Genomic DNA, 25,118 nt, shown 5'->3' on the forward strand with positions numbered 1-25,118 from the left:
TCCCAGGGACCCGCCACGCCTCTCGGAACTGGGGCAGCGGCCCGCTCACCTCGTGTCCGTTGCTGGCCGGGATGATTTCAGACTCGTTCACCAAGGAAGACTTGATGTCAGCTAAATCGCCTTCCTCTTCGGGATGACTGATCTCGGCGAAGATCTTTTCCTTCTGAGGATCGCCCTCGTCCTTGAAGGGGATCATCTCGTCCGTGGCGCAGAGTTCCGGGTCCCCCCCGCCGCCGCCACCTCCTCCGGAGAGTTGGGGCATCCCGGCGGCTCTGTAATCTCCGCTCCGCTGTGGGAGCACCCGCGCAACAGCAGGAAAGACAGAGGGGTAACTCAAGGGTGGGGGAGGAAAGGAGAGTTGGAAGGGTTCGTGCAGCAGGACAGCGGGCGGAAGCGGGGCGGGCGAGCGCGGGGCCGCCGGCCGGCAGCCGGAGCAGCTGCCGCGGCGCCCGAATCCCGGCGGCCGCCGCGCTTTCCCGCTTCGCGGAGACCGACGCAGGCGCCCGCCCCCGAGGCCGAAGGGCACTGGGCGGCGAGGGCTGCGGTAGCTGGCGACTCCGGGGGCGTCTGCGCGGCGCGCGCTAGACGAGGCTGCCCCGGCGGCCACCCCGCGACCCCGCGTCGCCGGGATTTGCGCGCGGAGAACGCCGGTTCTGGAGGGAGCACGCCTCCCCAAAGTGCAGAGGAGGGTCCGGCGGCGCGTCTCCGCGGAAACCCTCTCCACTGTAGTTACCCCGGATGCCGACTTAGTAGTTTGTTTTCCGAGAAAAGAGAGGGGATCTGGGCAGAAGGGCCCCGTTTGCCCCAAAAGAAGGTGCAAGGATCAGAAGATAACGAAACGTCCACTTCCTGAAGGGTGGGAAAAAAAGAAAAAGAAAAAGGAGCCACCCACGCTGGAGATGTCCGTTTTAGATCTTCTTATTTTCTTCCCTTTCGCTTCGGTTTTTCTTCTCGAGGCTCATTTAATCTGCTAGAGAAGGAGGAGGAGCAGAAGATGGGGGCCGAGGAGGAGGGGAAGAGAAAGAGAAGTTTGCCAAGAATAAAGTTTTTGCCGGCAAGCGCGGGGACTCCGCAGTGGAGGGCACTGCGGAGTCTCGGGGAGTCACAGCGGGGGCCTCGGGCCCAAATGCCTCTGCCCGGAGCTCGAGCCGACACACACACTCAGTCCGACCCCTCTTTGTTCCCGGCTCGAGTTTCTCAGCCTGGCTCGCCGGCTCGCCGCTCTGCACGCCTCCGCCGGCCAGCTCTGTCAAAGCAAAGAGCTGCGCCCCTTGAGTTCGCCCGGCCGAGGGGAGGGGACGCCCCGAGCTTGGCCGCGTGCGAGGCTCCGGGCGCGTCCTGGTTCCTCGGCCCGAGAGCGCGCAGCCCGGGTCCCTCCTCCGCGCCCTGCCCCGCAGGTGAGCGGCTGCGCCTCCCCACTGCTTCTCCTCCTCCCGCGCCTCGCCGGCGCTGAAAAGCTACCCACTTGCGTCGCTTCTCCTCCCTCTCCCCTCCCCCGCCTCTAGCTCTCCTTGGCTGCCCGCTGGAGGGGAGGCGGGGGGTGAGGGGGAGTCGGCGAGAAGGAGGTGGTGATTGAGGGCTTTTTTTTCTTTTTCTTTTCCCAGATCCTGTAGGACGAGTCTTGGTTTTGGGGTGTGTGAGTGTGGTGTGTGCGCGCGCGCCTGGAGGGAAGGATCAGGCAACTTGGCGAGAGAAGGAAGGACCGGGCGCTGCTTATAACCCACCGAAAGGCACGCTTTGCCCGCGTGAAACTGACAAGAAACATTGCCGCAGTGGCTTGACTTCATCATCTAAGTATCTATTTACTTGGCCCCCACCCACCCACTCCTTTTCCTCTGCCAGTCTCTCCCCTACCTCCTTGACGCCTCCCACTCTCCCTCCCTGGCTCTGGCAGAGGGAGGAAGATGAAAGAGAAAGCCGCTGCCGCTGTGATGGACACCACATTGATAGATGCTCTGACAGTGGGGAGAGGCGGGAATCTGGGACTGAGAAAAAAAGGAAAAGGGGAAAATATAACAGACATTGCTCAACTATTAAGAGAGAACAGAAGGACAAGGAAAAGAGAGTTGTAGCTTTCCCGAATATAATATCACACACACGCTCTTTGGAGACAAGGGAACACACTAGTGAAAATAAAATCTCTAGGCTTACGGAGAAAAAATATGACGAGGAAGAAGGAACTGAAGACTAGATTTTAATTATTGCTTTTTAAACAATATATCTTTCATTCTGTTCTCACCACGGGATGTACGGAGAGTTGTGCTAGGTCTCCAGTGGGTTTTCAGAGACACACACCGCAGTGTGTGGGAACCTCATCGAGAATGAAAAGATAATCCAAGAAGGGGGAAGAGAAGGCAAAAGGACTCAGGAGAGCAAAGCCAGAAGAGGGAGGGAGGACGGGGTAGTCCCTGGCACCTTGGACTGCGAACTGAAAGGGACCCTTGAAGACACCAATCCGAATACAACCTCAAAAATTCCCCAGTCTCCACTGTCTCTTTGATGAATTTTGTACAAAGACAGGAGTTTTCAGGAGATACTTTGTGAAAGTTACAGCAGAAGGGAAGCTGAAGTTTGAAAACACATTACATTTTGTCCCTTGGTTCTCAAACCCCCTCAGTTAAAAATCTAGGCAAAATTATTATATCCAATACAGTAACCATCTGTAAAACTTCAGAACAGTAAACAAAGGACATAAAGAAATGTATCTTCATCTCCCTTAAATCGAAAACAAGCAAAACACTACAGAATCAGATTTTGCTCCATTATATAGGAATTGTCTGGCAAAGATCCCTCTTTTTTTCCTAAAGGTGAAATTTCAGGCTGCTGAACATTGAATGGGTAAAGATTTTTACAATGCTGTATCTAAGTGAGCACTAATGACTTCACCTACTAATAACGACTACTTCTTGGGAATAAGAATTTACTAGGAAGCAATTTTTAAAACTTTACAAAGGATCCAATTGGTCCCTACAACATGGCCAGTAGTCACATGTAAATTCTATCTGGAAGATTGGGGTGAAATTAAGGGGTTGGTGAAGGAATCCAGGAAAATTAAAACATTAAATCCATTTTTAATAGCTGACAATGCTATGCCTCAAGAGAAGAAAAAGAGTATATTCTGCTACAGTGTGTGAGAAACCCAATTTTTGTTTTTGGATGATGGTGGTATGTCACTTCCCTTAAAGTTAGGCACCAGTGTGAGTAGTGTCCCAGAGAGGTGAACGTGTAGCTGTGTCAGACATTTATAGCCCCATTCTTAAAAGACACATGGGAAAACAGTCAAAAGTCCTCCCATAACTGCACCAATTTGACCAATAGGAAAACAAGTGGAAAATGCAGTTTCACCAAAGCAGAGTAGAGGTTCCTTTTCATCAAACCCTCAGGAGGGGGAGGGGAGAACACAGAATGGCCAGGGGGTACTTTCTGGAAGCCGAAGAGAGATTAAATGATGACTCTTACATCCCCCCCGCTGTTTAAGTGCTGAAACTAATTCAGATCCCACTTTCTCCTTCATGTTAACTCTGGATTCCCCGAGTAATTTGGAGCCTATGCTCCAGGTTTCCTGAAGATTAGAAGCTCAAGAAGATGGGAATTTTTAGAACAATAACTAGGGGAAACTGTTTACTTGAAGGGCCAAGGGTAGGGGGCTGCGTTTGGTATTTTACTGAGACCCCGTCCATTGAAAACATTGTTTCTAACGAAATCACCCAGCACCTTGCTCTATTTGCGTGGCTGTTTTCCTTACAGTGGTGTAACTTGTGTTAGCTGATTGTCTTTAGGATTGTTGTAAATCTTCTGATGAGCAGCACTTAGAAGGGGCTTTAGTAAAAACCATGCGCCCCAAATTTCTAAAGCTTCGTTTGGGAGAGAGGTTGACATTTGCACATGAAGTCTGTCTTTTGGAAACAGCAGGAGGACGCAGGAGGGGCGAAGTAACCCCGGGAAGACGTTCTTCCCCCTCCCTTACGGATTCAGTGTAGTTCCTGGCATAAGCAATTCTGTCACCGGGCGGTCTTTTCTAATTCGTGTGGGGGCTGATATTAACATAAGCAGCCGCCTCTTCGGGTGCGAGTGGGATCCCAGGTCCGGGATGTGGTGGGTGCGGTGCGGGAGAGGCACCCGCCGCCCCCTTCACTCGGATGTTAGAGGCAAGTTGTTCGTGTGAACTCGAGCGAACGACTGGAGGTTGGCTGTTGTAGGTTCACTCCTTCAGGATGTGGGTTTCAGGGGGCGTTTTGATGTGATTTAATTCCGACCGTGAAAACAATTGCTAGGGGCTGGCTGGATTGCTGTTGGTTTTTCCCCTCCTGGTGGCTTTGCTTGGTTTGGGTTTAGTTTGGGAACAAACTTGTTTTATATCAACACTTCCTTCTACATCGGGCGCCGTCGCCTCAACTGCGCGTGGGGGGCGAGGCGCCCACCCCGCACAAGAACAGAGGAGCGGGGGAGAAGAGACGGCCTCGCTGCTCACTGGGTAAGCGGAGCCCAGCCCCGCTCGGGAGCGGGCAGGAGAGACAGGGTAGTGACCCCCACTCACACCAGAAAACCCCTCCCCCCGGCGATTTTGCTGCCAACTCGAGTCGGCTACAGACAGTCCAGTGAGTCCTTAATTACAAGGACGAGAGAAAAGCACGGTGCCCCTCGAGTCCTCTCCGCCCCCTCGGTCCTAACCCCCGCCCAGGCTCCAGGTCTTCCCCTTTGTGTGGCCTGGACTCTCTCCCAGCTACGACTTTGGTGGGATCCAAAAGGAAGGAGGTGGCGGGGCCTACGGAAGAGGATACCCAGGAGCCAGGGAGAAGGGCTAGAAAACGAATAATGTGACTCCAGAGGCGGAACCCCGACCCCCTCTATTTCCCACCCCGGCTTCACCCGGAGACGAAAGCTGTGGGCATCTTCAGTTTAACGGACTTCGCGGAAAAGGAGAGAAGGGGGGCGAGGGAAATGGCAGTTTGTGTCCCAGGGGTTCTTCCCCTTCTTCTTGCCGCCTCCTAAAGACAAACAAACTCAACCCCCCACCCTCCGGGGTATCAGGGAACTCGTGGGACCGTGAAAAAGTCGTTCCCAAATCCGGCCGCCTGCGGACGTCGGACTTCCGCGGGGCCGGCGCCCGTTGGCGTCTGTAGCTCGGCGCAGCCACGCGGGGCTCCAGCGAGCGGGGTCCGCCACCCCTCGCGCCCTCCTGCGGCTTTCCCAGCGCTGGGCCAGTGCAGGCCGAGCCCTGCGTCCCTGCCTCGCTGGGTGGGGGTCCGGGGCGCGGCTGTCCACAGGGCCGCCTCCTCCTGCGGCCCGCGGGGAAGGGGCGCATCCCACCCCGCTCTGCAGGCCGCCCTTCTGCCAGCTGGGAGGCGAGGGCACACGTCCTAAGGCTGCCCAAGGGGGAGAGGAATCGCGCCGGTAGGAGAGCGCACGGGAACCAGGAACGCAAGGCGGGCACAGGGGAGCCGAAGGAGCCAGACAGGGCCCGGCCACGCGCCCTCCTCGCTCGGCTGCGCTCCGTGACGGGAACCCAGGCTCCCACGCACGGGGAATGCCTAGAACGGAGCTAGAATGGAGGTGGGAGCTGGAGTCATTTTGCGGGCCACAGGACTGCTCATTTCGTGGGCAGGACGTGACATTCTTGTCCCTCCTTTCTGAAAAACTTTTCTCAGGCGCCTGAACTTGGCATGGGGACCGGCCTCGAAAAGCCGGCGGGTAGCACGGCCGCGGTATCCAACCCTTCGCCCTCCTTCCCACCGGCCCTCCGCGTCCCTCGGCCCGCCCCCCGGGTCGGGGACGCGCGCGGAAAGGCCGCTCGCGCGCTCGAGCCGTGCCTTATATCGGCTGAGGGAGGCGCCTGCGCACGGCCCCGCGCGGCGGCGCGGCCTTTGAAGTCGCGGCGGCTGCCGCTTTCATCCTTTCTTTTTTCCCTCGCAGGCCCCTTTGTGTGACTAAATTTGGCAAGAATATGGATCTGAGCCAGTCTTTCCACGTGTGCTCCCAGCTCCCAGCTGAGAAGGCCAAGGGTTCTCTTCCGGGTAAGGAGACAGGGAGAAAGATCAAAGAGTTTGGGGAGCTGGATCTGAAATGTGAATTGAAAATAAAAATCAAGCCTGGACACATTCCAGTTTCTAAAGCAAAACCAACCCTCAGCAGAGGCCGGCTCTCTATATAGCTCTCTTTCTTTCTCTCTCTGCTCCCTTTGACTCTTTTCTGTGACCATTCTTGAGCACATGGTATAAAATAAAGAGAACATAGGGAAACAGTTTCTCTATATTTCGTTTTGGAGTAATTTTATTAGGGAAAATATCTTGTTCATAATTACCGGTATGTGAAGCCGAATTTCCTTAGCCGTAAATACTGTCTTATTTCAGCATGCTTCGCACTTTCTTCTGCGGCCACATTTGGGAAGAGAACGTTGACACAACACGTGTGGATATGTTCGTTGTGTATAGTGGTCCTTTTTTTCTACACATGATATGGTGCACCGTATAGTTTTCTTTCACAGAAGTTAGATTCTGGAAAACCAATGTTAGTATTTTTATCAAAGTACTTACTGTCACAGTTGATCTCTGTGATTTGAAACCCTCTCGTCGATAGACTGCAGAGATCTTTTCCTAGAGGCCACTCACCAGTCAGAAACCTTTGTGTTTTTATGGTTAAAAAACTGTAGGTCCCTTCACTTCTGTTGTTAATGGAAGTAACTAAAAGAAAGAGACAGCTTTGAAATACTGTGATACGAAGAGTCAGAAATCCTGGGTTGGAGATGGGCCCTGCCACTCCCTCTCATGCCATTGGTAACCTTAGGCAAGCCATTTTAACCTCTCCCAGAGTCTGTTTCCTCTCTGAAAAAATGGATATAATAATACCGTACTATTAAGTGAGATAATGCATATGAAAGTATGTACAAATGTGAGGTATTATTAGTCCATGAAGCAAAGACGATCCTTTTAAGGGGACCTGTTAAGTTGCAAAACCAAAAACTTCTGAAGCTCTAGAAACCCTTACCACAGGAGCAAATGGGGACAGTGTTACGCTCTCGCGTCCATGCTATGACCATCTCCACGCCTCCATCAGTTGTGTTACAAAGGCCACCAAAATCACTGAAGCAGTTGTTACCCCCAAGTGAGTGTGATGAGAGAACATTTTCAGAACAGGGTGAATGTGCCTTAACTCGTGTTTATGTTGGGCTCTTAATGAATTCATAAATGAATGAAGAAAATAACACTGAAAACAATATCTTCTTGTGAGACATTTAACACACATTACAGCAGCTCTGAAAACAGTCTTAGTATAATGGCTTGAGAAAGCAGTAATGTTTATGTGGATAAAATACCCCCAACAACAGTTGTAAGGACTCACAGGTGGGGAGAGTGACTAGAAAGGTATATAAGAGTTGTTTCTTGGGACTGTGTGAGTGCCACAAAAATCTATGTTTTAGAATAGACTGTGATTATGTATCCCAGACAGAGGTATCTCAAGTTTACAATGCAGTAAAGATTATTGCTAGGGCTGGCTGGGAAGTGACAGGAGTACCACAGGTGTAGTGCATAGGGCATTTAGCTGAATGTACCTCAGTGTGATCCTTTCTAACCTAAGGTAACCCCACCAAGGGAGCCATTTCCTGGGCTCATTGGGAGCCATTTTCCAATATAAGCTTTTCAGTGTGACCTGTATACAAAGTTATGAAAGCAGCAGGGCTGGGAGATGGGTGGGGTTCCAGGGTTCCTAGGTCCCTTTGGCATGGCCCAAGGCTGCCCAGGGTGCAGACTCCTCCTGAGATGCTCCATCTCCTTCAGCTGCCTCCTGCCAGAAGCAACCCTCAGCCTTTGCCAATTGTATGGAAGGGACTCTATAGCAATTTTAATTGGCACTTAGAAAGCACCTTCTATTTTCTTTTTTCTTTTTTTTTTTTTTTTGAGAAGGAGTCTCACTTTGTCGCCCAGGCGGGAGTGCAGTGGCATGATCTGGGCTCACTGCAACCACCACCTTCCAGGTTCAAGCGATTCTCCTGCCTCAGCCTCCCAAGTAGCTGGGATTATAGGCACTTGCCACCATGCCCGGCTAATTTTTGTAATTTTAGTAGAGACGGGGTTTCGCCGTATTGGCCAGGCTGGTCTCAAATTTCAAACCTCAGGTGATCCGCCCACCTCGGCCTCCCAAAGTGCTGGGATTACAGGTGTGAGCCACCGCGCCCGGCCAAGCACCTTCTATTTTCAATGTACCTTTTCCCAAATGTCCTAAATTAAAAGTGGATGCTGATCAAGTTCACTGGTCAACTTCAATTCTTCCTTTCTCTTTTCTTTACAGATGCAGCCTTTTTGAAATTTATTCTTGGCCAAAAGAGGAAGATAGTTCAAGGATTCTATCTTGCTTTTGGGGGGCAATGGAGAAACCCTGAAAACACTTAAGGAAAACCTGAGGCCTTCTATAAGAAAATAAACTCCCTGAAAGGGGAGGCAGGGCCAAGGAATTTACTTATTTTTATAAATCTCTTTCCTGGGTGGATATGGTAATGGATGTGTTTCTTGAATTGTGGTAAATGTACCTCATAAAATGGATGGACTGGGGCTATATTCTCAGGCTTCCTGGGCTCTGTTGGCATTGGGCAAGCACGTAATGCCTGGTTTGAGGCTAGAAGCCAAAGCCACAACCTTCTTGCAGTACCAACTGAGCCATAGGGAGATTAATGCAGAACAAGGTCGTTAGTCTCATTGTTTATCCAGTTACTAGCCGCATAGATTTTGTGTAAATTTCAGCTACAGTGGTTGCAGCCTGCCTTTGATGTGTGTAATCTGTACATTTTAGTGCTCCAGGAAAGTACCTGATTGACAAGATCTACATCCAATGCCCAGAAAACACATCCTACACAGGCACAGTGAAGCGTGGAGTTGAAGAATTTTCCAGTGAGTTCCATCAAAGTAAATAAACCAACCTAGAGCATCAGGATTGAGCCTCCTTTTTCTCATGACATGACTTTTGAGTGTCCTTGGGAATGGTTTGTATTTGTTTTCATTTGAAACTGGGTAACTGCTTTAAATCCTTATTTACCTCTCAGAGGAAGAACTTGGCCTGTATGACATTTGACCTTGAGGATGCTTTCTGTTTTAAAGCACTTCTGTCCATAAAAACAGACTCCTTGAGTGAGGTTACCTGTACTCATATATACATTTATCCAAGACACAGCCAATTTCTAGTTCCTTCCTTAGCTTTGTCTTGCTTGTATGGCTACGCTTAAACTCAGAATTAACAACGATGGGAGTGAATTCAGATGGTAGAGACAGCCAGTGCAAATAGTTTAGGCTACAAAATTGTCATCTGGCTCCACCAAACACTTTTCTTTGGCCAAAATAAAGCTAATTTGCCTCATCTGAATTTGACTTAAAGGTCCTGCAGTCCCGCTCTGCCAATTAACAGATCTCAAGTCCACTTCCCTTAGGTTAAATTGGCAGAAAGCAAAGGACAGAGATAAACTACTATCCTATGAGGTTAGACGGTAATTTTTGACTGCCAGTTCTGATAACCCCAGACTCCCAAATATATTTTGAGATTCATTTGAATTACCGAGATATTTGATTTTTGCAGTTCAAATTACTAGGATAATTTTTTACATTGTTTTGCTTTGTATCTCACAGTGGCTGAGTAAGACAGACCTTGTTGAAGCTCTAACTCTCTCACTGTTAGCCCTCCCTGTCCTGCACCTTTGCAGTTGCCTCCTAATGAGTCTCTGGCTTTCATTCTTTTTTTTTTCCGAGACAGTCTCCCACTATCGCCCAGGCTGGAGTGCAGTGGTGTGAACTCGGCTCCCAGGTTCAAGTGATTCTCGTGCCTCAGCCTCCCAAGTAGTTGGAACTACAGGTGTGCACCACCACAGTTGGCTTTTTGTATTTTTAGTAGAGACAGGGTTTTGCTGTGTTGGCCAGGCTGGTCTTGAACTCCTGACCTCAAGCAATCCACCCACCTTGACCTCTCAAAGTGCTCTGGCATCCGTTCTTGCTGGGTTCCATGCATGCCCCACAATAGTCCATGCCTCATAGAGCAGCCAAAGTCATCCTTTAACATTTCCTACTTGTGGCTTCCAAGTCCCTATGTGAGCTGTTACCTGGCTTCCTCTTGCTCACTGCTCTCTAGCACCACTGGCTCTCCAGCTGTTCCTTCAGAGTGCAAAGCACATGCACGCACGTGTACACACACACACACACACACACACATGCACACACACACACACACACTATACACCTCAGTCCTTGTTGCCTCTGCCCAGAAGCTCCTGGCCAGGTAGATGTTCACAGGGCTCACTCCCTGACTTCATTCAGGTTCTGCTCAGATAGTCCCTCCTTAGAGCTTGTTATCTTAAAAAATAGCCATCCCCCCAAACCTTCTGCCTTCACTCCAATTCCGGTCACTCTCCATTTTTTTTATGGACTTCATCTTCTTTTACTGTCACTGCTTGGCCTATTTTTTATACTTACTTACTAATTAGCTTTCTTTCCCACTGGTTCATAAGTTCCATGAGGGTAGGGACTTTGCTTTGTTTTATCCTTACTTCCTGTGGCAGCTCTTGGTGCATAGAAAATATACTAGCAAGGTGTGTAGAAGAATAAATTAACATGCCTTTGACAACCTCAGGTTTCTTATCTGGAATACTTCCCTTATGGAAGATTACAAATAATTGTTATAAAATTACCTGGCATACAGTAGATACACTCAGTAGGTGATAACTGTAATTATGCAGATCAGCACTGCCAAATGAAATATAATGCAAGTCACATATGTAATTTTAAAAAGCTAGAAACAGATTAAATTAATTTTAATAATACATTTTATTTAACCCAAATGTTGAAATTATTACCATTTTAATATATAATCATTATGAAAACTTACTAATGAAAGATTTTACATTCTTTTTTCATATTAAGTCTTTGAAATTCAGTGCAGTTTACTTACAGCAAGATTCAGTTCTTTTTTTTTTCTTTTTTGTCTTTTGAGACGGAGTCTTGCTCTGTGCCCAGGCTGGAGTGCAGTGGCACGATCTCGGCTCACTGCAAGCTCCACCTCCTGGGTTCACGCCATTTTCCTGCCTCAGCCTCCCGAGTAGCTGGGACTACAGGCGCCCGCCACCACGCCCGGCTTTTTTGTTGTTGTTGTTGTTGTATTTTTAATAGAGATGGGGTTTCACCATGTTAGCCAGGATGGTCTCGATCTCCTGACCTCGTGATCTGCCTGCCTCGGCCTCCCAAAGTGCTGGGATTACAGGCGTGAGCCACCGCGCCCAGCAACTTACAGCACGATTCAGTTCTAACTGGCCACCTTTTGAGTGCTTGAGTGTGGCTAGAGGCTACTGTATGCAGTCAGTCAACTGTTTAATGACAAGTTTTTGTCAGATTCATCTTTGTAACCCCCATATTGCCTTACACATTTCCCTCAAAACAGTAGTTGATCAAAAATGTATCAAAGAATATCATAACAATATATTGTTATATACTATTTTTCATGGCAAATTCAGACTTTCAACTTATTGGAGGGTGAAATAAGTCTTGGTGAAGTAACTTGAGATTATAATCATTTTAAGTGTATTATAACAGTGCTTTGCCCATAAGAGAGGTGTGCAATGAATAGTTGTGGTTCTCGTGTGTTGCTGAGTTGAGTACTTTTCTACATTGTAAATAATAGATTTACCATTGAACTTTAGGAAATACATAAGTTGAAGGTTTTCTGTATCATATTCTCTAGAATAACTTTCTCCTCCCTGTAAAACTGCCAAACCTGCACTTCTATAAGAGTCATCCAGGATCAAAAGTTTCTCCAGAAATATATACCATGGAGAGTGCCTACTCCCACTACAGATTTCATTTTCAGGTACAATTCCTGAACTGCTTCTTGGTACACATGGGCCAGATATAATAGTAAGTCTATTCTGTCCTATGCCTTGAGTTTTCACTAAAATGCTTTAATAAGGCATTAGCCTTAGGCCTAGCAAATTCTTTTAGTTGCAAAAGTCATTCCCCTCCATTTCAGAGATTTAAACCTGATGCAATAAGAGGAGGAAGATGAACAAAAGAGCAGGGTCATTTTCTGGAAGAAATGGGTAAAGACTGTTTGTTGAGAGATGTACCTCTAAAGCCTTGATATGCTTTTATGGTAGAGAAGTATTACATAAACATACTATCCTTACTGTGACTAAAAATGACCCATAGGCCAGGCACGGTGGCTCACACCTGTAATCCCAGCACTTTTGGGAGGCCAAGGCAGGAGGATCACCTGAGGTCAGGAGTTCGAGACCAGCCTGGCCCATATGATGAAACCCTGTCTCTACTGAAAGTACAAAAATTAGCTGGTCGTGGTGTCAAGCGCCTGTAATCTCAGCTACTCAGGAGGCTGAGGCAGGAGAATTGCTTGAACCCAGGAGGAGGAGGTTGCAGTGAGCTGAGATCATGCCCTTGCACTGCAGCCTGGGTGACAAGAGCGAAACTCCATCTCAAGAAAAAAAATAAAAATAAAAGTGAACCATAGATTTTCAGTGAAGTACAGAGAGTAGGCTGGGCACAGTGGCTCACACCTGTAATTCCAGCAGTTTGGAATCAAGGCAAGAGGATTGCTTGAAGCCAGGAATTCAAGACCAGCCTGGTCAACATAGCAAGACCCCATCTCTAAAAATAAAATAAATTAGCTGGATGTGGTTGTGTGCGCCAGTAGTTCCAGCTAGTCAGGAGGCTAAGGCAAGAAGAGCACTTGAGCCCAGGAGTTTGAGGCTTCAGTGAGCTATGATCATGCCACTGCACTCTTGCCTGGGCATCAGAGTGAGATCCCACCTCAAAAAAAAAAAAAAAAGAAGAAAGAAGGAGAAGAAAAGAAGGAGGAAGAGAAGAGGAAGAAGAAGAGGAGGAGAAGAGGAACAAGAAGAAAGAATTGGAGGAGGAGGAAGGAAGAGAAGGAAGAAGAAGGAGAAAAAGAAAGAGGAAGAGGAGAAGAGGAAGCAAAAAGAAGAGGGAAGAGAAAGAAGGAGAAAAAGAGAAGAAAGGAAGAGAAGGGGAAGAAAAGGAGATGAAGAGGAGGAAGGAAGAGAAGGAAGAAGGAGAAAAAAATGGAAGAGAAGAGGAAGAGGAGGAGTAAGAGGAGAAGAGGAAGAAGAAGGAGAAGAAAACAAGGAGGAAGAGAAAGAATAAGGAGAAAAGGAAGAGGAGAAGAGGAAGAAGAAAAAGGAAGAGGAAAAGAGAAAAAGAAAGGAGGAGGAGGGAAGAGAAGGAAGAAGAAGGAGAAAAGTAGAGAAAGAGGAAGAGGAGATGAAGAGGAAGAGGAAAAGAAGAGGGAAGAGAAGGAAGAAGGAGAAAAAGAGAAAGAAGAAAGAGGAAGAGAAGAGGAAGAGAAGGAGTAAGAGGAGAAGAGGAAGAAGGAGAAGAAAACGAGGAGCAGGGAAGAGAAGGAAGAAGGAGAAAAAGAAGAAAGGAAGAGGAGAAGAGGAAGAAGAAGACGAGGAGGAAGAAAAAGAAGCGTTTATAACTTTGAAAAACTTGGAAAGGTCTAGCTGTGGATTTGTGAAATTCTAATATAGCTTGATGGTGAAATACCACACAGCTTTGATAATGATGCTCAATTATTTTTATTCACATGAAGATATTAGTGATACATTGCTAAGTTAAAAAATAAAGTTATAAGAGAATAAATGCAATCATACCTCATTTTAAAAAGTTTATGTTTACAGATCATTTATTAGAATGTAAACTCTATGAGCAGGGGCACTGTTTTGTTTACCTCAGTATATCTGATGTCTAGAACAATTCCTGGCACAAAGTAGGCACTTAGTCAATATCTGTTGACTATATCTGGAAGGACAGACAGTAAGATACTAATAGTAGTTTTCTCTGAATAGTGGAGATTTTTTATTGAGTTTTTTATTGTTTGTGCTTTTAGAAATTTCTTTTTTTTTTCTTTGAGACAGAGTCTTACTCTGTCACCCAGGCTGGAGTGCAGTGGCACAATCTCGGCTCACTGCAACTTCTGCCTCCCAGGTTCAAGCGATTCTCCTGCCTCAGCCTCCTGAGTAGCTGGGATTACAGACGTGCGCCACCATGCCCGGCCAATTTTTGTATTTTTAGTAGAGACGGTGTTTCACCATGTTGGCCAGGCTAGTATCAAACTCCTGACCTCAGGTGATCCACCCGCCTCAGCCTCCCAAAATGCTGGGATTACAGGCATGAGACACCGCACCTGGCTGCATTTGGAAAATTTTATATGCAATGAACCAACATTTTTAAAGTAATAAAATATAATTTTAAATGTTATGTGATAAAAATATCTTAAAAAGTGAAAGAGCTGATCTTGGGTAATTTTGACAACAAAAATTAGTAAATCACAGAAGAAGAGTATCAGGAACTGGGGGCAGTATTGGAGCCACTGCATTATAGCAGACACAATTTCAGGGCCACCTGCTGGTCATGCAGAGGTCAATATAAAAGGGCTCTGACAGTTTATAGCAAGCTTGTCCAACCCATGGCCCACAGCCCACATATGGCCCAGGACAACTTTGAATGCAGCTGAATATGAATTCGTAAACTTTCTTAAAACATTATGATTTATTTTATTTTTTAGCTCATCGGCTATTGTTAGTATATTGTATGTGTGGCCCAAGACAATTCTTCTTCCACTGTGGCCCAGGGAAGCCAAAAGATTGGACACCCCTGGTTTATAATGATCAGAAAGATGGGCTGTTTTTTTTTAAGGTAATAATTTAAACACAATGAAATGTGTAGGTCTTAAGTGTACAAAGTATACAAATACACACGTGTGTGTGTGTTTTAAATCGGGCAGCTCTGAGAGTCACAGGTGATTCTGAAAGACTCCCCAGAGTGTTTTGATTAATATATACACCTGTGAAACTATCACTCCATCATGATATAGAACATTTCAGTCATCCCAGAAATTTCCCCTATGGGATGAACTTATTTCAAAGCAACTTCTTAAGCTACATTTTTGGTGAAATGACATTTGTTGGTAGTTTGTGGTTTTCTTGCTGGTTGCTTCGGATATATTCCTTAACTCTGTAATTTATTTTCTCTATCTGAACAACTTGTCACCTTAGAGTATCCCTTTCTAGAAAACATGCTAATACTGTAATGTACTTAATAGGAAGGAGAGAAATGGAACTCAGGTTATTGGATTGGCTATCAAAGTGCTGAATTGAAACACTGACCAAGTAAATTGCATGAAATAATTTGTATTATAAACTGTTTTTCATTGTAGTAAGTGAAATGTCTGTTGTCTTAACGACTGACAGTCGGAAGAGGTCTTGGTTTGCTCCAGACATGGATGTTTGGGGAAGGGTATTAGGGGAGCAAGTGACTAAGGACCTGATGGGGTGATTTCCAGAGGCAGCTGTGTGCCAGAGACTTGGGAACATGAGGCTCTTTGGTGGGTGCAGAAGCGCAGGAGAGCAACGTGGATTTGTGCATGCCCCCTGCACATACCTTCTAGGCTTAGCATTCCTCTGGCCTCTGTCGGTTCAACATGTGGTTGAACACAGCAAACAGGAACATCTTTTGGCTGTGGCACAATATTGTACTTACTGTAAAAAAGATAGCATTTCCTGAATTTCTTTTGTGGGAAGTGTTAAAAAATACAGATAGGATGTATTTTTTTCCCCCTTACTGTGAAATAGCTGAAGTTCATCTCTCTTTCTCTCTCTCTCTTTTTCTCTTTCTCTTTCCTCTCTGTTTCTAAGGTGAAGATAAACCTCAACTTCCAGGAAGGGAAAAATTTAATTAACTTAAATATGGGCTCAAAGGTCCATGCCAAAACAATGTGATCAATACATAGGTTAAAATTGTCCTAAAGAGGACTATGGAATGGATTGCAACATGGTTCAGGTCAGATGACTTCTGGGATTACTAGCCTGGTAGTCCAAAAAGACATTGCATGCTGTGAGGGAAATAAAAACAATAATGCGAAAACAACGTTAAGGATCTACTCCAAGTATGGCCCACAAAACACTCTTGAGCTGCTTGCTGTTGCGCCCCTGTGCGTTTCATCCCTCCTGCTCTCTTCGTCAACCCTACAGCATGTGGGGTGTGAAATCACTTGAGAAACTGTTTCCACTGGTTTGCTATGAGAATTTCATAGTTTGACCCCTGAAAATGAAGGGAATTAGAATTGATAGGAGGGATGATTTGGTGCCCAAAGTGGTGAATTGGTGCCAGAAGGTCACCTGAGTAAGAAATGCCTTTGCCTGGTGGCTACGTAAGTTAGAAATAAGTGAGCTGAAAATTAAAGTAAAAAAGGTTAATTTCTATGAGAATATCAGTTGGACAGACAGCAATTAGATAAGGTACAATCTAAGAAGTAAAGCAGGAGAGAGAGTTTACTTAATAACTAAATATTTACTTTTATCTCTTTCACTCACTTGTAAACCAAGATAAGCCTGTTTGTTTTCTATATAAGAGTTAATGCTCTATGATTAATTATATTCATTATTCCAATAATAGCAACAATGAGCTTTAAATGAAAATCATTGTCATTATGTCTATTTATTTCTTGGTTGCAAATTGAAAAAATATTGAAAATCAAATGGACATTGTACATTATTTACTAAGAATATTTCACTTACTGTGGATGATTTAAAAAAAAACTATTCTGTTTCACTTAATGCTTCAAGTGAATTACATTTTCTGCCTCTCACATTTGAATACAAGGCTGTTATCTTAGGGCTCCCAGCACTGTGGAAGAAACATTTCATGGAAGTAACTCTATTTCAGCTGTAATGTCTCTTTCTGCTCCTTTTTTATTGAAGAAAAAAAAAGAAGAAAAAGAAAAGAAAAAGAAATAAAGCAATAATAATTATATTTCTAGCCCAGAAATATGATCCTTTGAATAAAACTCTGCCCTCACTTTCAGTTAATCAGAAGATGAGTGATATCCTATTTCTTTATAGTTTCCTCTAGTCTTGGTGAGATGAAAGAGGAATTTGCAATCAAATAAGAGTGGTATTGCAGACATTACAACTAATTTATATAGTTAAAAACTCAGAATTGTATCCAGATCTGACCAGGAACATGACACAAGATTTAATTTAAAAGGAAAAAGGGGACAATTTCTTTTTTTTATTTTGGTAACTCAATTTACATTGTGCCATGACTCAGTAATTATGCTGCAAGCCTCACTGTGAACACTGATGAATTGACTTTGTGTCCATCTATTATGTTGACACTGGATTAAAATAGAACTAACTCCATCATTCAGGTTGGAGAAAATTCAGAAGTATTGCTTACTCCTCTTTTCTTTCTACTGTCTCCTTTTTCTCATGTTCCAGATTATTGGTGCCTCACCAGAAGAGAACAGAGGAGAGACTTACTGACTTACATAAAACATTCATTAACTTACCATAGAGACTACATATGCAGAATATCCATCACATCTACCCCACATACTGTAGTATGTAGCCAATATTTTGTTCATGTGAAAAGTAGAGAATTACACCAATCATTTAAATAACTTAGGTAAAACACTGTTGAAGAAAAACTTTATTTAAACCCAAATTAATTAATTCAAAAAGAGCTAATATTCAATCGTGCTTTATTTTGTCAAGGAAATAATTAGACATTTCTTTAGGTTCCAAGCAGTACTGAAATCATAGGCACAAAGTGGGTAGCAAATGAACATACATTCCTCCTCTGCCTTCTCTTTGGACCACATTCCAGGCATGCTTTTTGCCCCAGCTCTCCACCAAAACTGCTAAATCTGATGGTCAATTCTCGTCCCCCTTATTTGACCCATCATCAGCATTTGACACAGTTGATTACACTTTCTTCAAACGCTTTCTTCCCTTACTTCCAGGATGCCATCAGCTTCTGGTTCTTTCCGGATCTCCTTGGCTCTTCGTTAGTCTCCTTTGCTTGTTTTGTCTTCCTGACCTCTATGTATTTGGTGGAGTGCCCCTACAGCTCAGTCTCTCACCCCCTTCTCTTTTCTATCTAATTCATTTCCTGATGACCTCATCCAGTCTCATGCCTCTGAATATATTATAAATGCTAACAACATTGAGTTACATCTTTGGCCTAGACCTAGCCCCAGATTTACAGACTTACATATACAGCTGCCTACAAACCTCTATTTGATGTCTAATAGGTATGTGAAATTCAGCATGTCCAAAACCCAACTTATGATCTTTCCCCAAATCTGTTCCTTCATAGTCTTCTCTGTCTCAGGAAATGGCAGATCTATTATTTCAGTTGCTCATGCCAAAAGCTTTAGAGCCATCCTCACCCTTCTCTTTCTCTCACTCCCCACATCCAATCTATCTACAAATTCTTTTGTTGTTGTTATTGTTTTTGAGACAGAGTCTTGCTCTGTCGTCCAGGCTGGAGTGCAGTGGTACAATCTCTGCTCACTGCAACCTCTGCCTCCCGGGTTCAAGCGATTCTCCTGCCTCAGCCTCCTGAGTAGCTGGGATTACAGGCGTGCACCACCACACCCAGCTAATTTTTTATTTTGTATTTTTAGTAGAGATAGGGTTTTACCATGTTGACCAGGCTGGTCTTGAACTCCTGACCGCAGGTGATCCACCCGCCTTGGCCTCCGAAAGTGCTGGGATTATAGGCCTGAGCCACTGCCCCCAGCCTTATCTACAAATTATTTCCCTGTGAAATATAACCAGAACCAGCTACTTCTCACCAGCCTAGTTCAAGCTGCAATCATTTTTCATCTAGATATTTATCATAGCCTCCTAACAGGTCTCCCTGTTTCTACCATGCTGTACCTGCTATTGTCTGCAAAGCTCACAGAGTGATCTTAAAACTATTGATGACAAGCCAAATTCTGTAAAATATTTAAAGAGGTTTATTCTTAGCCAATATGAGTGACCCAGGCCTGGGGAACAGTATTAAGAGGTCCTGAGAAAGTATGTCCACGTGGTTGGGTTACAATTTTTTGGAGTGCAGTGGCACGATCATGGCTTACTAAATCCTCCACCTTGTGGGCTCAAGTGATCTGCCCACCTCAATTTCCTGAGTAGCTGGGACTACAGGCACACACCACCATGCCTGGCTAATGTTTGTATTTTTTTTTTTTTTTTTTTTTTGAGACGGAGTCTCGTTCTGTCGCCCAGGCGGGAGTGCTGTGGCGCGATCTCCGCTCACTGCAAGCTCCGCCTTCCGGGTTCACGCCATTCTCCTGCCTCAGCCTCCCGAGTAGCTGGGACCACAGGCGCCCGCCACTGCGCCCGGCTAATTTTTTGTATTTTTAGTAGAGACGGGGTTTCACCGTGGTCTCGATCTCCTGACCTCGTGATCCGCCCGCCTCGGCCTCCCAAAGTGCTGGGATTACAGGCGTGAGCCACCGCGCCCGGCCAATGTTTGTATTTTTTGTAGAGACGAGGTCTCGCCATGTTGCCCAGCCTGGCCTCAAACTCCTGGGCTCAAGTGATCCGTTTGCCTTGGCCTCCCAAAGTTTTGGAATTACAGGTGTGAGCTGCATGTCTGGCTGCAGTTAGGTTTTATACATTTTAGGGAGACAGAAGATATCAACAAAGACATAGATCAATACATGCAAGGTATACATTGGTTTGGCCCCAAAAGGCAGGACACGTCATAGTATGAGGGGGTTACTTATAGGTCACAGGCGGATTCAAAGATTTTCGGATTGACAATTGGTTGAAAAAGTTAAGCTTTGTCTAGACTTGAAGTCAGTACAAAGACACGCTAGAGTCAAGATGCGGGGAGGATTGTGAAATCCAAGGTTCTTGTTATTTAGATTAAACCTCCAGGTAACAGCCTTAGAATAGATGGTAAATGTCTCTTTTCAAAACTTTTCGAAACAAAACTCTCCTTTAGTCCCTTTTAGATCCAGGAAAAACTAGAAAGGGAAGGAGATTTTCTAGAGATGCAAATTTCCCCGAGAGAGGGCTTTCTAGGGCCATTTCAAAATATGTCAAAGAAATATATTTTAGGGTAAAATCACTTTATTTCCTTCAGAGTCTTCTATCTCATGTGATGCTATATCAGAATCAGGTTGGAATTTGGTAACTTATTGCCACAAAGAGTCTGTTTCTGTCAGTCTTATGATCTCTATTTCAGTGTTAATGCTGGTCAGTTGTCCTAAACTCTAGAAGGGAGGGGTATAACCAGGCATGCCTGACGTCCCTTCCTCTTATGGCTGGGAATTCAGTTTTTCGTGTTTCTCTGGGATCCCCTTGGCACAGAGGGGGTCCATACAGTCAGTTGGGGGGCTTGGCATTTTTTTGGTTTACAAACTTAGGTCAGTTTATGTCCCTCCTCTGCTCAGAATGCCCCAGCAGCTTACCATTTCCCAATGTTCTGCAGGATCCTGTGTGATCTACACCCACCTCTTACTTTTCTGATCTCATCTCTCACTGTTCCCCTTGCTTTCTGTGCATTGGCCACTTGAGTTTATTTGCTTTCTCAAATCTTGGGCATGTTCTTACCCCAGCATCTTTGCAGAGGCTATTTCCTTTCTTCGTAGTAATGTTTCCCCAGATCTTCACATGGCTCACTCCCTCACCTCCTGCAGGTCTTTCCAAATATCCCTTGTCAGTAAGGTCTTCCCTGATCACCCTATTTAAAATTATAACTCCTCCCCTAGCTGTTGGTACTCTTTATCCTCGTCTCTCACTATATTTGTAGTACTTATTACCAGCTGACATCCTATGTATTTTATTCATTTATTTTTATTTTTTGACTGTCTTCCCTAGTAGAATGTAATTCCCTGGAGGGAAGGGATTTTTGTCTGTTTCCTTCATTGCTATAAATCTAGGCACCTAGAACAGTTCCTGACTTGCAGATAGAATCCAATAAATGTTTGTTGAATGAAAGAATATCTACAAAAATACATACACAAAAGTATCGTAGCACATAGTACCTATATACTTTACCTCTTGTTATTGTTGTGATCTCCTAAATGGATATAGCTTAATATACATATAAACAATAAATCATATTTTAAACAAATCAGGGAAGCTGTTATTAGAAGGCATTTGATGGCCCTTTTTTAAAGGTAAAAGTTCCATTTAAAAGTAAACAGTCATACTCTAATTTGTCTGTGTTGTCAATGTGACCTGCTTCTCTAGAGACAACTCTTTTGGAATGCTCTATTGAGCAGGCAGGTATTATGAAGCTATTTCTAATTGATAGGGAGAAGAGTAAACAAAATATCTGAAAAGTTCTGTTTTTCAGTGGCCTGGATGGAATTCCACCAGGCCCCTCAGGACAGTTGTTGGGCCAGGCTTTATCCTTGCTGAGCTGTTTCAGGCCTTACAAGAGTATTTGAAGGTTTCCAGGGGTTGGGGAGCCTTGGCTTGGTGGTATGGGAGATGATTTTGAGTGATTTACAGGACTAGCAATAAATTATTTTCACTCAAATCATGAGAAAACTATTTCCTTTTCTATTCTCTATCAGTCTAGTACCTGTAGCAGCCTCTGTTGGAACCTGGCCCATACCTTTTCACCTTTATCAAGTGGGTGTATGCCTGCCAGAGTTACACCTACAGCCCTTATATTCTTTGCCCAAGGCCTTCTCTTGACTATGAGACCTGCTTTGCTGCCCACAAGGCAACCCAGGAATGCTGGGGAATTAATGTCCTAGGGATTGACCTTCAACAAGTGACTAATAGCAGTTGGTGTATAAATACCCCGTCTCTCTCATTCTTTGTGTAGGCGAATTCTGAGGTGTGTTTTACACTGGCTCCCTGAGTTTCCTCAGAGGGATGAAGCTCTAGTTGTCCACAGTGAGAGCTGGCTTGATAATATGTTATTCAATTGCTTCCTTCTCTTTTCTGCCTCACTTCCCACCTCCTTCATTGTGTTTCCACATTTCCTTCACCTCGCAAGTAAACTAATTGCAACTGAATTCTAGTCACAGGTTTGCTTCTGGGAAAACTTGAACTACAGTACCTGCAAATCTTTAACCATTTCTAGTGCCTGTTTATTTCCCTTTTTACCAGAGAGCTAGATCAGGTCTCAGGCTAGAAACCTCGAGTTGTTGAGAGAATCTTGCTAGAATTTATACTAAGAGGGTTTTTTTCCCCTTCATTATATTTATTTTTTAATTGCCTACTATTTATTGTGATATTAGATTTTCCATTTACTATTGTGATATAACTGGATTCATGTAAGAACTACTTTATTTAAACCAATTGGTTTAAATAAAATGCTTATAATAAGACTGGTGGTAAAGAGATATGGCAAAAATCATAGACACACATGGCTGAAGCTTGGGGAAAAACCTGCTGTGAGTTCCTGAGCTAGCTCTGGAGGATCTTTGGAAGAACCAGAAAGTTTCACACTGTGCTTCATGTGCGGCCTGTACAAAATGGCAAGCAGTAATACGTAACAACTGTATTGTTTTATGCCATATTCCTCATAAAGCTGGTATCTTCTCTTAAGACTTTAAATGCTTAAGCAGGTTGAATAAACTTGCTTCATCTGTGTAATTTTAAAGGGTTTTCTTTTGGAATGTGGTACTTTCATCTTCCTCCCTCACCCTTTTACTGGGGACAGAAGAAAATAGCAATCATCGTCATCTGAACACCTAGAAGTAACACTCGCGGACATTGTGTCGTATTTCCTCCCTGCCTTTTTCTGATAATATAAACAAAGCACTGAACCTGCTCCACTGTCAGCCCCTTCCTTGATGACTGCTACGAGCAAAGCTGGCCCTCACTTCCGTCGGACTCCTTGTTCCCTGAACAGCATTTGATGCCCCGATCCTTCCTGAAGTTCTCTCCTATTCGCCATCACACTGTTCTCCTCTTTCTCCTCCTCTGTCTGCTCCTTCTCCGTCTCCCTGGAAAGGTCTCTTGTTTCTTCTTGCTTCTTAAATATAGGCCTTCCCCTGGTTCTCCCTCAGTGAGCTCCCCCTCATGAAAAGTATTCCACATCTGCTTCTTTAAGCCACATTTCTCTCCTAAGCCCCAGACCTTGGACATACTTTTCTGCCTGTCTGATGGCCACATGAAACTCATCATGCCCAAAACTATCCTCATAATTTCCCCCTGCAAACCTCTGGTTCTTCTATACATTTAATTTCATTCATATAAGCCAAAACCAGGGTGTCATTTATAATTCCTCTCACTCCCTCACCTGCATGATGGGTGAGGAACCAAGCGCCCCCAGCGCTGCCTCAGTACATACAGACTCTCACTGTCTCTCTGAAAGAACTGCCCCATGACTTGGGGAGTCTCCCTGGTTTCAGTCACCCCGTCCACTACCTTCTACCCAAAGTGATTTTTTTTTCTTTTTTTGAGACAGAGTCTCACTCTGTCGCCCAGGTGGGAGTGCAATGGCATGATCTCGACTCATTGCAACCTCCGCCTCTCGGGTTCAAGCGATTCTTGTGCCTCAGCCTCCTGAGTAGCTGCGATTATAGGCACGCAACACCATGCCCGGCTAATTTTTTGTATTTTTAGTAGAGACAGGGTTTCTCCATGTTGCCCAGGCTGGTCTTGAACTCCTGAGCTCAGGCAATCCACCTGCCTCGGCCTCCCAAAGTGCTAGGATTACAGGCGTGAGCCACTGTGCCCGGTCCCAAAGTGATTTTTTTTTAAATACAAATCTGGTCATTGCCTATTCCTGCCTAAAATACTCTCTAATGAAAGATCCAGAAGGGTAAACATTAAACTCTTACCTGTAGGGAATGGGGCAGGATCATTTGCTTTTTATTCTCTGTACTTCTTTACTATGTAATTTTTCTTTAACAATGAGCATATGTTGTTTTTACAATTAAAATACATAAAGATCATCAAAAGAAAAACATGCTCAATAGCAACTGCCTGCCTCAGTTGCTTACAAGAAATCACTTTGTGCTCTGCCTCTGATTCTCCCTCAGTCCTCTCCCACACAAGTCATACCACAGGGCCCAGGCTTTCACCATAGGCTCCAGGTGTTCAACTCCGTGCAGTTTTCTAGGCCTTTTCTCAGGCTTTCCCTGCATCTGAAATGCCCTTCCAGTCTTCACCGCTTGTGCTGTGCTTAAACATCCTTCATGGTCTAGCTTGTGTCATCTCTTCTATGAAGGACTTCCCCACCCCAGGGAGACATGACTGCAGCTTCCTTTGGCCCCACCCTAGAACTTTACCCTGTGGAGAAGTCTACTCTAGTACTAGGTGATGTGTTTGCCTCCTCTTCCTTGCTGTGTCCGTAGGTCTCCTGAGAGCATGGACTGCACCTCTCAACAAGCATTCAGAAAACAATGAAACAAAACAGAAACAAACACCTGTCATTTACACCCTATTCACTGCTTGCCCTGCGTATCACACATGTGATTTCTAGTCCTGGAAACAATCTGTAGAGTATCTCCATTTCACAGATATGAAAACTGACACTCAGAGCTAGGCTAAGGGTCATGCAGATAGTTTGTGGCAGAGCTGGGATTTGGAACCTGTGCCCTATACTGCCTCTAATAATGCTGCTGAAGGCAGGGGCTGTGTCTTATAATTATCTCCCTTGTAGCAACTAGCACAACTGGTTGCTCAATAGTGCTTCAATCAGTATGCGTTCCTGAATAATTTAGAAGGAGAGTAGTCCACCTCACCAAAAACCACTTACCCAGACTATGAAAGAGCCTCAGTCATTTCTCCTCATACTCTCTGAAAGATGAGCCCAAGGGCAATTATAGGACCACAAAAGAGTTTGCAGGGGGTGGGCAGTGTGTATCTACCCTGGGATAATCTGCCCTAGAGTGGATTGTTGGTAGTCATTTTAAAGTTGTTTGTCAAGTTCGTTACTCAAGAGCATGTCCCCAGGGACAACTTTGTCACTGAACAAGGCACACACAAAAGCTCTGGGGTAGGGCTTCCACCTCAGGGAAACATAGAGCTGTTCTCACCCTCTGGGCAGAGGGAATCAGGCCAGCAGAAAAGTGTGAGTGGTGAGTGCTGTGGAAGAGCCTGGATGGAAAGCTATGGACTGCCTGGCATTCTACGCCTGGGAGTGATGTGCATGTGTTCATGCGGGGGTGGGGCTGGGGCTGAAGCGCAGTGAATGAAGGACAGTGAGGCACTGGGCAGTTTGGGGCTGGCAAAGGTGGGGATAGTTTGTGCCAACCTAGCTTGGTTCAGGGCTAGAGGCTGGGGGAACCAGAGGTTCTCACAGCTCCTGTAAATGTTCAGCCTGAATAGGGCTCCAGAAGTAGGAATGTGG

The 25,118-nt window shown here is 45.2% G+C and overlaps 2 protein-coding genes and 1 long non-coding RNA gene across 9 annotated transcripts in view, besides 7 other annotated features; 2 read left to right on the forward strand and 1 right to left on the reverse strand.

Moving 5' to 3' along the window:
• LEF1 (lymphoid enhancer binding factor 1) overlaps positions 1–1,427 on the reverse strand; it is a 121,385-nt gene extending 119,958 nt beyond the window's left edge. For all 6 annotated transcript variants that reach the window (XR_007057926.1, XR_007057925.1, NM_001130714.3 and 3 more), the window contains exon 1: positions 50–1,427. Coding sequence is in view for 4 of the 6 variants with exons in the window: in NM_001130714.3 (NP_001124186.1) it covers positions 50–262 (213 nt within the window). In the remaining 2 variants the exon portion in view is untranslated. The remainder of the gene's footprint in view (positions 1–49) is intronic.
• On the forward strand, positions 20–8,925 carry LEF1-AS1 (LEF1 antisense RNA 1). Of its 2 annotated transcripts, none has more exons than NR_029374.1 (3): positions 20–328; positions 5,914–6,014; positions 8,287–8,925. It is a non-coding gene; the product is annotated as an LEF1 antisense RNA 1 (long non-coding RNA). The 2 variants fall into 2 exon arrangements; NR_029373.1 differs by lacking the exon at positions 20–328 and adding an exon at positions 4,615–5,553.
• LOC124900752 (uncharacterized) lies at positions 434–3,465 on the forward strand. Its single transcript, XM_047416528.1, has 2 exons — positions 434–1,397; positions 1,605–3,465. The coding sequence occupies exons 1-2, from the start codon at positions 995–997 to the stop codon at positions 2,189–2,191; spliced, it is 990 nt and encodes a 329-aa protein (XP_047272484.1). The 5' UTR covers positions 434–994; the 3' UTR covers positions 2,192–3,465.
• Positions 1,027–1,116: an enhancer, noted in NCBI's record as "active region_21796". NCBI's record gives its function as "activates an Ori minimal core promoter by ATAC-STARR-seq in GM12878 lymphoblastoid cells {active_cell/tissue: GM12878}" and the evidence as "EXISTENCE:reporter gene assay evidence [ECO:0000049][PMID:35858748]".
• Positions 1,377–1,426: a silencer, noted in NCBI's record as "silent region_15617". NCBI's record gives its function as "represses an Ori minimal core promoter by ATAC-STARR-seq in GM12878 lymphoblastoid cells {active_cell/tissue: GM12878}" and the evidence as "EXISTENCE:reporter gene assay evidence [ECO:0000049][PMID:35858748]".
• Positions 3,187–3,817: an enhancer, noted in NCBI's record as "NANOG hESC enhancer chr4:109091848-109092478 (GRCh37/hg19 assembly coordinates)". NCBI's record gives its function as "activates a minimal SCP1, AML or CMV promoter by ChIP-STARR-seq in naive H9 embryonic stem cells {active_cell/tissue: H9 hESC(naive)}" and the evidence as "EXISTENCE:reporter gene assay evidence [ECO:0000049][PMID:30033119]".
• Positions 5,213–5,462: a silencer, noted in NCBI's record as "silent region_15618". NCBI's record gives its function as "represses an Ori minimal core promoter by ATAC-STARR-seq in GM12878 lymphoblastoid cells {active_cell/tissue: GM12878}" and the evidence as "EXISTENCE:reporter gene assay evidence [ECO:0000049][PMID:35858748]".
• Positions 5,703–5,892: a silencer, noted in NCBI's record as "silent region_15619". NCBI's record gives its function as "represses an Ori minimal core promoter by ATAC-STARR-seq in GM12878 lymphoblastoid cells {active_cell/tissue: GM12878}" and the evidence as "EXISTENCE:reporter gene assay evidence [ECO:0000049][PMID:35858748]".
• Positions 18,794–19,295: an enhancer, noted in NCBI's record as "H3K4me1 hESC enhancer chr4:109107455-109107956 (GRCh37/hg19 assembly coordinates)". NCBI's record gives its function as "activates a minimal SCP1, AML or CMV promoter by ChIP-STARR-seq in naive H9 embryonic stem cells {active_cell/tissue: H9 hESC(naive)}" and the evidence as "EXISTENCE:reporter gene assay evidence [ECO:0000049][PMID:30033119]".
• Positions 19,296–19,795: an enhancer, noted in NCBI's record as "H3K4me1 hESC enhancer chr4:109107957-109108456 (GRCh37/hg19 assembly coordinates)". NCBI's record gives its function as "activates a minimal SCP1, AML or CMV promoter by ChIP-STARR-seq in naive H9 embryonic stem cells {active_cell/tissue: H9 hESC(naive)}" and the evidence as "EXISTENCE:reporter gene assay evidence [ECO:0000049][PMID:30033119]".

The sequence above is a fragment of the Homo sapiens genome, chromosome 4 (genome assembly GCF_000001405.40).
Source record: "Homo sapiens chromosome 4, GRCh38.p14 Primary Assembly".
In the NCBI taxonomy this organism is placed as follows: domain Eukaryota; kingdom Metazoa; phylum Chordata; class Mammalia; order Primates; family Hominidae; genus Homo; species Homo sapiens.

Coding starts and splice junctions, on each gene's coding strand:
- LOC124900752 (XM_047416528.1), top strand. CDS start 995: ATGGGGGCCGAGGAGGAGGGGAAGAGAAAGAGAAGTTTGCCAAGAATA. Junction 1,398..1,604: donor CTCCGCGCCCTGCCCCGCAG/GTGAGCGGCTGC, acceptor TTCTTTTCCCAG/ATCCTGTAGGACGAGTCTTG.